Source organism: Homo sapiens, chromosome 6 (assembly GCF_000001405.40).
Source record: "Homo sapiens chromosome 6, GRCh38.p14 Primary Assembly".
Lineage (NCBI taxonomy): Eukaryota > Metazoa > Chordata > Mammalia > Primates > Hominidae > Homo > Homo sapiens.
The window spans coordinates 41,322,114-41,335,264 of NC_000006.12; the positions used below are offsets into that span (position 1 = coordinate 41,322,114).

Consider the following 13,151-nt stretch of genomic DNA (forward strand, 5'->3'; position numbering starts at 1 on the left):
ATCTCCAAAACCTTAGACCAAGCAAAAGATGACACATATAAAATAATCTGCACTGTATGATTCCATGTATATGAAAATTTGTTACAGGCAAAGATCTTCTCCAGTGTTTTCGTTTGTTTGTTTTGTTTTGTTTTGTGTTTGTGTGTTTGTTTGTTTTGAGACGCTGTCTCGCACAGTCGCCCAGGCTGGAGTGCAATGGCGCAGCTCACTGCAACCTCTGCCTCCCGGGCTCATATGATACTCTTGCCTCAGCCTCCTGAGTAGCTGGGATTACAGGCGCACACCACCACACCGGGCTAATTTTTTGTATTTTTAGTAGAGATGGGGTTTCACTATGTTGGCCAGGCTGGTCTTGAACTTCTGACCTCATGATCCGCCCGCCTCAGCCTCTCAAAGTGCTGGGATTACAGGCTTGAGCCACCATGCTCGGCCATCCAGTGTTTTTATCTAAAAGTTTTCTAGTTTGAACTTTCACATTTATGACTATAATTCATTTAGAATTAAGTTTTCTGTATGGATAACTAGTTGTCCTAGCACCACTTGTTGAAAACACTTTGCTTTTGTCCGTTGAATTGCTTTGGTGGCTTTGTTAAAAATCAGTTGCCCGTATATGTGTGGGTCTATTTCTGGACTATCTAATCTGTTCTATTTATTTAACTGTCTGTCCTTACTACAGTAGCACACTGTCTTCATTACTGTAATTTTATAGTAAGTCCTGAAATCAGAGGTGAGTTATCCAGCTTTGTACTTCTTTTTCCCATTGTTTTGGCTACTCTGTGCCCTGTGCATGTAAGTTTCAGAGTCCTCTTGTCAATTTCAACAAAAATGCCTACTAGGTTTGTGTCTGTGACGTAACCTAGTATTGAGTTTATACATCAGTTTGACAAGAATTAACATCTTAACAATATTGAGTCTCCTAGTTCAGGAACATGGTATTTCTCTCCATTTATTTAGATTTTCTTTAATTTATCTTATCTTCCTGGTGTAATGCAAACATTCTATATCTTGATAATGATGATTGATACGTGGATATATGTATTTAAGTAAATTGTAGCTCAAAATTAAGTAGAAATTTTCTTATATGTGTGTGAACCGACAGAAACAGCTCTTCTAGTCTTACCCTTAACACCCTAGACTAAATAAAGATTTTAATTTAATTTATCTCATCAATATTTTATAGTTTTGAATGTATAGGTCTTGCACATATTTTGTTAAATTCATCCCTAAGCATTTAATGGTTTAGGATGTTGTTTTAGGTGTCATTTTAAAAGTTTTCATTTGTCTATGGTACACTGCAATTATATAGATAGTCCATTTGAGTTTTCTATATTGACCTTGTACCCTGAAACACTGCTAAATTTCAGTATTGGCTGTTATAGCTTTTTGTGTAGATCGCTTAGGATTTAATGTGTATACAATCATGTTGTCTATGAATAAAGACAATGTTCCTTCTTCTTTACAATATGTATGCCCTTTGTTTCCCTTTATTGCCTTATCAAGTAATTAAATCTCCAGAACAATATTAAAGAAAAGTGCTGAGAGAGATAGCCCTGCCTTTTCTCCTAACTTAGATGGAAATGATGGGGTCTTTCATCATAAAAGGTAACTCTGACTATAGGTATTTTGCAGATACCCTTTATTAGGAAAAGGAAGTTCCTTTATTTTCCTAGTTTGCTTATAGTTCTAATTTTTCTAATGTTTTCCTACATTTTTTGATATGACCTTATATTTTGTTTTCTTTTTAATATCATGAATTACACTGATTGATTTTTCAAATGTTAATCCAACCTGGAGTTCCTGGGATAAACCCCATCTGGCCATGTGTATTACCTTTTTTATATACTGCTAAATTCAGTACACGAATACTGTGTTCAGGATGTTCATGAGGGACATTGGTCTATCATTTTCCTTTCTTCTAATTCCTTTTCCTGCCTTTTGTATCAGGCTGATTTGAGCCTTATAAAATGAATTGAGATATGTTTCTAGTTTTCTTAAAGAGTTTAAGTTCAATATTAGCTTTTTCTTAAATATTTATGGCATTTTGTCTTGCTAAAGACTATATTTCTCTTGAAGTTGGAGGCCAAGATGACTTCACTGGTAAATTCTATCAAATATTTCTATGTCTGAAATGGTTATTTTTGTTATAATGGATTATCGTTTATTCGAAATGTTTAACTTAAAATTGACTATCACATTACTCTATTTCTGCATAGGGTTTACTTTTATTATAAGTTTATTAGGTTTTCTTTACCTGCTTATTAATTTTCTGTCTCCTGTCTGCCTTCTCCATCCTACCAAACACCCTTCTCTGAATATGAATATAAGCTCCAAGAGTGAAGGAAACGTGCCCGAGCTCTCCATCTATTCCCTGTGTCTGGAATGGCAGACTCAATAAGCATTTGTTGAATGAATTGTAGGAATGAATGAAGAAACTCCTTTTGTTCTCTTGGTTTTCAGCTAATATGCTTGAGTTTTCGGAAGCTGGAAGAAACAAGGCATGGATTCTCCTCTAGAACCATGGGGACTGTGCAGCCCTGCCAACACCTTGATCACAGACTTCTGGCCTCCAGGCTATGATAGGATAAACTTCTGCTAAGGCACCCAGTTTGTGATCATTTGTCACAGTAGACTTGGAAAACGAATACACCAACTAATTAATATTTCGATTATTATGTAATTATAGAAATATATTAATTCATAGGTTTTCTCATATACTTTATTTTTGTAATTTCCACTAGTTTTTCATTCCTAAAAATATATAGATGCATTCCTTTTACAAATATTTTTCTAGCAGCATATTTATTAATTACATTTGATTTACATTTTTTCACCTTTCTGGATGGACATTCTTACTCTTCAGTATTTGTTCATGTTATATATTTTATACGTGCACATACTAAAATATAAATATGTTCTTGTAAAATATTTAACATTTTATGCATGTTTTAATTTATGCTAATTACATTGATATAAATTTATTAATTTATATTACAACTAAATACATACATATCATAAATGAAAATTATTAGAAATAATAGGAGAGATTGTTAATTTAGATATATATAAGATTCATACACAAAAATTAGTTGCATACATATGAACAAACAACAAGCAATTACAAAATATTATTTGATAAAGACACCACTTTTGGTCACCTTTTAAACCAGAATGCAATAATTATTTAAACTTTGGACTTGTCCCAGTACTTACTACCACCATTTGTCGGCCCTTTAAAAAAATGTAACTACCAGTGGATTGAAGTAAATATTCAAATTATTTCTTTCCAAGAAGGACATTAGTTTCTATCATGTGTAACACCATCTGGTTGTCTTCACAGAGGAAGGATAATAGTGAGACTTAAGAGCCTTGGATGATGCTGCTCCTTGTTCTCTGTAGAAATTGATTTGTTGTCTTCTGATGTTTGGTGTTGCAGCAGAAAGCTCTGAAGCCAATGAGACTTAAAGGAAATAACTTTCTTTTCTCTCCTGTCCTGCACATGGTAGGATTTGTCCTAGATAAATGTGGCGGGTATTGCTATCGCAGAACATCTGTTTCCCCTTTATCTCTGGACAAACAGAAGACTTGTGCTTTTCAGCTCCTTGATGATCTGCTTGGCTAATAAAATATGAGTGGAAGTGACAGTCGCACTTCCAGGGGAACAATTTAAGGACCAGTGCTCAAATTTCCAGCACTCTCTTCCCCTTCCGTGACAATCAGGCAAGCAGGCATTGATGTGCAAGTCCATAAAAGCAATGCACCTCAAATCCTGAGCCAACCCACAGAGGACAGGACCTCTACCCTAGAGAGTCATCCAGTCATGTGGTGGGCTTCCCAGGACTCAGGGAAAAACTTTATGTGAACTCACTGAATGGGGATTGTTTATTATTCAGATGGCCTGTGCTGGAAGACACAATTTGCATCTCAAATTAGTAAGAGCTTCACATATGTCATCCTTCATTTCAGAAAATCTTCCTTCCATTAAGCCTATATTTGTTGCTTGTGTTTACATTCTTCCGGCCACTCCTTCAGAAACACCCTTACATATAGGCTGCCTCTCCATTCTTTATCATCTTACCTCTCTAGGGTCAGCAAACTTTTTCTGTAAAGGGCAAAACAGTGAATACGTCATCGCCTCTGCCACTGTGGCATGGCGCCTTTCACAGAGTACACGGAATGAAGAAGCATGTCTACAATAAAACTTTATTTACAAAATCAGATGTCAGGCTGGATTTGGCTCCAGGGCTATAGTTTACCGAACCCTGCTGTAAAAGGAGGAAATCAACAAAGAGAGCGTTAGATATGGGATCAGGAGAGAGCACTTTCAACACGGGATAAAAGCTATGGGAGTTATCAAGGAGATGGCGAAGGGGTATCTCAGAAAGGGATATTTCAGCTGTGCTGAAAGCATAGAGGAAAATTAGTCCAGATTGCGGCGGGAAGACATTAGACCACATGGGGCTGTGCTGGAGGAATAAAACCAGTCAAGAACTGATATGTATGAATATGTTGACACAAAATTTACATTGTTGATGTAGAGTTTGGAAAGGAATGAATGATGGCACATAAAATATAAAGCAAATTTTATAAATAAGGCAATTAATAATTTCACAGAAATAAAAAGTAGTATCAAAAAGAAAATGTAATCATAATAAACCACATGACTAGGGCTAAGAAAAATATTTACATTGTCATGAAATATAAAATCTAAGTATTAATTGTACTGGTAAATGTATCTGACTGCATTGGGAGGCTAAAGGTAGGGGGAAAGGCACAGGTGTGAGTGGCATGAAAGAGGAACAAGCCTCACCTCCCGTATTATGTGTCTAATGGAGAATAGCTAAAGCTGTAAAACAAACAAGTATCAACATAAGGATACAAATGAAAAATACTTTAAATTGCCTCCAAGAAAAGGGAATTGGGATGTAGTGTTGAAGCATAGAACTGCTGCATTTTTGTTAGTATGCACTTACAGCATACAATTTTTGAAGATGTGTATCTGCATTATTTTGATGAGATGTTAATACTTGAAAGAATACTGCAACGATGGCCAATATACACTTTTTTAATTCCTAGATTAGAATTTCTTAGTCAGAGCTGATTTCTTTTCTAAAATGGGTTTTGATTCATCTCGCCACACTGTCTTTCAGAAAGGTGGTGTCAATTGCTTTTACCCAGCAGAATAAGCAATCACCTTTTCCCTAAAATCTCCCAACTCTGGTTATCATCATTTATTTCAACTTTTGTCAATCTGATGAGAAGAGTGGTTTTGCACTTATTTTAATAATATCCGTTTTGAATACAATTTAACATTTTCATTAATATTTCTTCTACAGAAAAGTGCCTGTTCCTAGACTCATCCCCTTTTTCAATTGAAATGTTCATTTTCTCTTATTGTTTAAAGGACTTGCTTGTCTTTATATGAAATTTAATAACCCTTTATATGTCAAATAGGGAGAAAACATTCACAGTTGTGATTTGTTTTTAAATTTCACTTATTGTATTATTCTATAACATCCAAGTTTTAGTTTGCATGTAGTATGATCTATTATTTTTCCCTGTATAGTTTGTGGCATTGGGATCATAAAGAGAAAGCTCTATTCCACCAAAAAATTAGATAAATTTTACTTTTCTTTTCTTTCAGATCTTCTGTGTACTGCTATTTTATGTATACATATGTATAATCAAAAGTCAAGCAAACTTGATTTTGTGGGTGTTGATTATTAATGACAGACATTAATTGGGGAGATAGCATATAAAAGGCACTTCTATAAATATTGTGAAGTGTTTACTCATTTATTCCCAGAACAATTATATTAGGGGTTCACTAATACCCATTCAAGAAAGAAGGAAACTGAGACTTTTAGAGGTTTAGCAGTTTGCTTAAAAATGTCAGAGCCCCAAAGAGGCAGAGCAGGAACCCAAACAGTGTGTGTATCTCAAGAGTCCAAGGTCTTTACAACACTAGTTTGTGAGTTAGATGCCTTGAAATCTACAACTCAGGGTGTGCACGTGTGGGGCTGATATTCCACTAAAGAACAGACCGTCCTCTTCTGCTGTGAGGACAATTTCAGGAACCAGAAGAAATACGAGTCTGACATGTCCCACTTGCTGCCTAGATCTTATTTTTCAATTGTCGAGACCCCTTTAAGGATAAATCACATTAAAGATATTGTAGTTCTCTTAATAGATCTATACAGTGCTGAAACAAATATTTTTACAATAAAAATAAGCTAGAATTCTTTTACTTTTAGCAATAGTAACTCATGTCTATTACGCACCAAGCTTTTACATACAATATCTCGTGTGATGCTCACAAGGATTCTGTGGGACAGATGCTGTGTCTCCATATTGCAAATGATGGGATTGAGATTCACTTCAGCCTGCGTCCTAGGTGCACTCCTAATGGCTCTGGGTAGATGGGCTGGATGAATTGGCCTAAGATGAATGTACCTTGCCACACAGGCACTGGTCTGCCCTGGAGTCCCCATGACAAATGCTTGGAGGCAGCCCCTACCTTGGATCCCACAAACAGCAATGACAAGGGCCGCTGGAAAGCACAGGATGCGTCTGAAGGCAGCTGGACAAGCCCAGACTCAGGTCAGTGGCCCTAGAGGGTCTTGGGGAAATGTCCCCAGGGGCTGAACAGAGCCTGGCAATGACCCTTCTGCTCCACTGTGGGACCCTTTCTGCAGACTTGCCTGCAGCCCCAGGACCTTGGCTGTGCCAGAACCCAACAGACTGTTGATCACTCCTTTACTAGCTCCCCTAGCAGTCTTCAGCAGCTCTTCTCCTGCCCACATTGCCTAGTGGCAAGTTTGTTTAATTACCCTCTCTGCAGGCTCATCTCCTGTATATTGTGTTCTCACTTATTCCCTTACACTTTCATTTCCAAGTGTATTGCCTCAGAGTCTTTCGGAGAAGCCCCTTACCTTAGGCACAGGAAAGCCATGGTTCATGACCTGTCCTGGGGCCACCACCCACATGCCCCACCAATGTTGGCCCCAGGATCCAAAGTCACTGGGTCCTCTGCTTTGCCCATTTTTTTCATTCCACCTCCCTTTTTGGCCAGGCACAGTGGCTCACGCCTGTAATCTCAGCACTTTGGGAGGCCAAGTGGGCAGATCACTTGAAGTCAGGAGTTCAAGACCAGTCTGGCCAACATGGTGAAACCCCGTCTCTACCAAAAATACAAAAATTAGCCAGGTGTGGTGGCGGGCGCCTCTAATCCCAGCTTCTCAGGAGGCTGAAGCAGGAGAATCATTTGAACCCAGGAGGCGGAGGTTGCGGTGAACCGAGATCGTGTCACTGAACTCCCACCTGGGCAACAGAGCGAGACTCCATCTCAAAAAATAAAAATAAAACGCTTTTTAATACAATATTTTAAATATTATATTCATTACACAATCAACATATATATGTATATATATATAAAGACTTTTTATTAAAAACAAACATTGCAGATGTTGGTCGAAGTGTACAAAGTTTCAGTTAGACAGGATGAATAAGTTCTGGAGATCTATTATACAGCGTGGTGACTACAGTTAATAATAATATATTGTGTACTTGTAAAGTACTAAGAGAGGGCCAGGCACGGTGGCTCACACCTGTAATCCCAGCACTTTGGGAGGCTGAGGCGGGCGGATCATGAGGTCAGGAGATCGAGACCCTCCCGGCTAACACAGTGAAACCCCGTTTCTACTAAAAATACAAAAACAAAACTGCTAAAAATACAAAAACAAAATTAGCCAGGCATGGTGGCAGGCCCTGTAGTCCAAGCTACTCAGGAGGCTGAGGCGGGAGAATGGTGTGAACCCGGGAGGCAGAGCTTGCAGTGAGCTGAGATCACGCCACTGCACTCCAGCCTGAGCGACAGAGCGAGACTCCGTCTCAAAAAAAAAAAAAAAGGACTAAGAGAGTAGATCTTAAATGTTTACACCACAAAAAAAGATAAGTATGTGAGGTGATGGATATGTTAAATCAGCGTGATTTAATCATTCCACCATGTATACATATATCCAAGCATCTTGTAATACACTAAAAATATACAATTTTTATTGGTCAGTTATACCTTACTAAAGCTGGGTAAAGGAACAAACATTGCAACAGACTACAGATAAAGTTCCCTTCACCACTTCTTCCCCAACATTCATCATAGTTATTGCCCCAAAAGACTGCTATTATTAGTTTGATGTATAGCTTTTCACAAACAGAAAATTTCTGTGTTTGTACAGATAAGAGGTTTATGTGCACAGACAAACCATTTTGAGTTCAGTTTACTGTATATAAGTGGGATTATACCATACATGTCATTCTGCAGCAATTATTAAATTTAACAAGATGTTTGGAGATCTAGCTACATTTGCACACAAGCTGTATTCTTTTTTAACCTTTACATGGTGCTGTATAGAAGACGTGGACCAGAAGTTATGTTATTAATTCCCCTGTGGAGATCATTATTATAAACAATCAGTGATGAGCGTCTTTGTAAATCTCCTTTTGTGCCTGTGTGTGTATTTCTCAAGGATGGGTGAATCCTTGAAATGGAATTGACAAGTCAAGGAATGCACATATTAAACATCTTAGATCCTTATTATTTGCATTCAGAAATGCTGAACAGTTTCTATTCCCACTTTGAACATAACACCCACTTCTCCACACCCTTGCCAAGAGAGTAGGACAAGCTTTTAAAATATTTGTCAAATTAATGAATAAATATTGCAATTTGTTTTAATCTGTAAATATCTGATGAATAAGGAGATAAGACATTCTTGCAAATATCTCTGAGAATGTTTATTTCAATTATTGAAAGTTGCTCATCCATTTCATGAATTATTGACATTAATTCTAAATTCAGGTGTTCTGTGTGCTTGTATTGATGGTTTACCTTCATGCTATTAATTTTTCTCAAATGTATGAGATACTTGATTGTCAAATAGTATTAATGCATAGATGAATTGAGGGAATATTCTCATGTTGGTATTTTGAGCTGTTGAGGCTTCTACTTCTGACATTCTAATTTTTCTTATTTTGTTTTTAACACTCGGAAATCAAACGTATCGGTGGCCACTTTTCTTGTTTAACTTGGATTTATCTTTTTTTTATTTATTTATTTTCTTCCATTTACAAAGATAGGGGGCTGGAAGAGAGAATGCCAGGGGGTCCAGTGGGCCACACCGACCCTTTCTTCCCTCCATGTTCCCCGTTAGAATCTAAGCACAGAAGGAAGAAGGCCTACTTTTCCAGACAGTAGGGCCTTCTCTTGGCTTGCAGAAGTGCATTTGAAATGGAGGTGGCAGAGATGGGATACCACACCGGGCCAGGCCTTGTGGAACCTGCAATGCATTCCCTGCAGAGTGATCTCCAGTAGGCTTCGGAGAGAGTAAGGGCTGGGGCCCTGTCAAGATGCTGCACAGGGAGAATTCCCCCAGGAGCTGTCCACAGGAGCCCCTGAGAAGGTGGAGGCTGAAGGGAGGAGTCAGCTAAGGGCAGATGTGCAGATACGTGTTTGAGCTGGGCAGCCTGAACTTGGCAGAACAGAGCGGGGACAGAGGGGAGCCGGAGCTGGCCGTGGTGGTGACTGAGTGATTTAGGGAAATTAAAGCAAGAGGGGAGATCATGGAGGAGGAAGATTCTCAGGTTGGGCAAAGAGGCTGAACTGGGTTTGGTCTCCCCTGTTTGGGGCGTTGGATCAGATGCACAGGGAGTGTTCCAGAGGGGCTGGGGACAGCAATGTGGGAGGGTCCCACCACAGCAGGGATTTAGGTACTGGTAGGTGTCTTCTGCAGGCACTGGATGGCCCCTTCCTTACTCATTATCTCAGCTGTCCCAGAGTGGCAAGAGCTGAGCATCGCCCCTCGGCCTGTGCTGAGCTGAAGCCTTCAGAGACCTCCATAGCTGCTGCCCCCAGGGTGTTCGTGAAGTGTGTGCACCGCCTGGCCCTGCTCCTCTCCAGGACTGCCCTTCTCCAGCTCTGTCACCCCCTAACTTGGGGCTGGTTTCTATGGAGCAGAGTGGTCTGCTGAAGGAGGGAGTGCTGAAGGAGGGAGTGAGTGTCTGTGTGAGTGTGGGTGCACTTGGGTGAGGGCCTGAGAGTTTAAAGGCAAGGATCTTGATTGGCCTGTAATAAGCAAATGAGCAAACAGAGATGACGGCCAAAGGATATTGAAATCGATGTTAAACATAATTTTCTAACCCTACCCCTGATTTTTGTCTCATCTTCTGAGGCTGACCACCTTTACCAGCACAGCTGTCCCCACTGTGCTCCATTTCGCTCCTCCTCTCTGGCCCCAGGCCAAACCCAGCCATACTCCCCCTGCTCCAGCCTGCAGCTCGGGAGCACATGAAGGGCTGACAGCACCAGGCAGCACAGAGACCGGGGCCCTGGGGGCGGCTGAACGGGGTGAGGGGGTTGGAGGATGGGGTTGGTTCCATGGAGTAAGGAAGGAGAAGAAGCAGGGAGAACCCAGCTGGGGAGATGGCTGCTTCCTGCACTCCCTGAGCCCAGGCCTCCCGCAGGGTGCTTAGGGTGGAAGCCTGGTTCTGTGCCTGACCCACCCTGAACTTCCTGTGAGGGAGCTGTGCGCCCAGACTGCAGCCTTGTGTGGGCAGTAGCTCAGGTCCCTCTGACCTCTCTGGCAGGGAAAAAGCTGCTCTGAGACCAGATGCTTTGAACCTGGCATCCTGGGACCAGGAAGGGCCATTGTTATGGGACCATTGTCATGGGAGCAGGAATAACCCTGTCAGGGCAATTGATGACTGAAGGATCCTGCTGGAGCTGGGGCAGAGAGCCATTGGGGTCAGAGGTATAAGCAGACTTGTTGGGGTTCAGGGAGAAGACTCCTTGGATCTGCAAAAGGCAAGCCTGGATGAAGAGTAAGGAAGTGCCCATGGAGAATCTCTGAGCCCAGGAGGAGCACCAGGTCAGGAGAGAGGAGGCCTGGGTGCTAGTCCTGGTTTGGCCCTGAAATAGCTGAGTGACTGTGGAAAGGCTACTTGCCTTCTCTGGACCTCATCTCCCTCAGTTGTGAAATCAGCACTGAGAGAAATTCCCTTTTGTCCCTGCTACTTCTGGTTCTATCATGGGGGAAATTTACAGCTACCCCTTCACCCCTGCCCAGCCTAGCTTAGCCCTGTGCTGCGTTTTGGGGATCACCTCCAGACCTCTACGGCTCCCTGCTTTCCCCATTTCTGCATCAGAGGCCAGCCCTCCCTTCCCATGGACCTACCCAGGCTCGGAGCCACTGTTGCAGGCTAGACTGGGCCTTGCTAGAAAAGCAAGTACATGAAGTCTCCAGCTCTCCCAGCTCCTTCTCTGGGTTCCTGTGAGTGTGTGTGACAATGAGTTTGGGAGAGGAGGTTGCTGAGGTTCCCAAGTTCTCTGAGGGACCTTCTCAGAGGGTGGGCAGGGAACCCAGAATCCCCCAGAACCCCAGGCTCTTTGACAGGACTTTGCTGTGCCCTGCTCTGATCGTGCCAAGGGGGAGGCACTATCCCTAGCTCTTCAAGAGACTTCTGAAAGGGCCCCAGATCCCACCACAGCTACCTGCCCCAGTCCCTCCTGCAGAAATTCAACTTGTGACAAGGGCTGTTGTGGGTCCCCAGGGAGCAGGGCCAGTCCCAGCCTGGATGAGGGGCTGCCTAAGCCCAGGCTTCCCTGCCCCCAGGTCCCAGATGCCAGAGGAAGCTGAGCGTGCAGATGGTTCCAGCAGGGGCCTCCCCCTAGGGTGCTCAAGGCCCCAAGTCTATGTGGAGGGTGCCCACCCCACTCACACAGGTGGGGAAGCCACAACACAGAGAGAGGGGCAGATTCCCCGCTTTGAGAGCTCCTGTCCCCTGGGGAGAGACGACACACTCTGACACAGCAGAGAACGATACAGAGCTGGCTGCAGGCTGAAGAGACACACAGCTAGTGGCACATAGCAAGGGGTGCTCTTGTAAGCTACAAGAAGGAGCTGTCACTTAGAGTCAGCAGGGGTCAGAGAAGGGGAAAGTCAGCATGGGAACACAGTTGCTGACACACACACACACACACACACACACACACACACACACACGGTGACGTGCCTCGGTGCCATCTGAGGACAGGGCCGCCTTCCTCCCCCTCGGGAGGATGCCCCCACCCTGATTTGGTATGTAATTATGTTCAGGGAGAAGCTGGGCCCCACTGTCGGCGAGGAAACCCCCTAAAAGCTCACCTCCGCCTGTGTGTGCAATTCAGTGGGAGCCTCTTTCTCACCCCTGGTTTCCTGTCATGTCTGTGGGTCGCATTTCAACCAGACCAGCCGGAAGGCTCCAGACCGAAGTCAGGAGGCCTGTTCTGGTCCTGTGTGACTCTGAGCAGGTGGCTGACCATATCTGGGCCTCAGTTCTCACATCTGTGAAAAAGAGAAGTAATGTCTCCCTCGCGAACCTGCTGAGGGTCTTGAGAAAGTGTGCATGAGAATGCTTTGTAAATAATGCTTGTGTGAGTGAGTGGCGGGCATCGCTCCCTGAGCTGTCTTCTAGCTCTGGAGCTCCAGCCTGCTTTCCCACCTTGGGCCCTTGGGCGCCAACATCTGATAGCCCTACTGTGTCCTCCTTTTGCATACCCCTCTGCCTTTCCCATTCTCAGTCTCTGCATACTCCTACTGTAAGGAGAAGGGCAGTGTACTGAGATGGAGTGGAGAGCAGGAGTCCAGGGGCAGGCAAAGCAGTGGACTTGGAATCGAGTCCACTTGACAAGTTCCAATTCCCGTCTCAGTTATTACCTCTGTTCACAGAGCTCCCGGCAGCAGATCGCCAGTCCAGCAGAGCCCCCAGTGGTGCAACTGCAATTACACACAGTGTCTCTACCAGTCCTAAGATATATTAGCTCGTTCTCTTTGTAAATTGCATCGTATTTTAAAACTGAATCTTCAAAGTGCTGACATTAACTAAAGAAAAATATGCTAGAGTCTTTCATCTGTTTATGTTTTAATTAAACAATATTTCTCCAGGGTCCTTAAGTGGCAGAGGTCCAGGATGCAGAGATGAGGCCAGGTCCTGGTTCCTGGGCTCCCTCTACCCCACCCCACTGATGCATCCCATGCTCCGTGTGCTCTTCCCACCCTCCCCTCCCCGACCTTTGCCAGGGACCCTCCCTAGCCTCCCTTGCTGGTTTTGAATCTCCACCT

The 13,151-nt window shown here is 42.8% G+C and overlaps 1 annotated feature.

Annotated features, from left to right (window-relative positions):
- Positions 12,113–12,242: an enhancer, noted in NCBI's record as "active region_24505". NCBI's record gives its function as "activates an Ori minimal core promoter by ATAC-STARR-seq in GM12878 lymphoblastoid cells {active_cell/tissue: GM12878}" and the evidence as "EXISTENCE:reporter gene assay evidence [ECO:0000049][PMID:35858748]".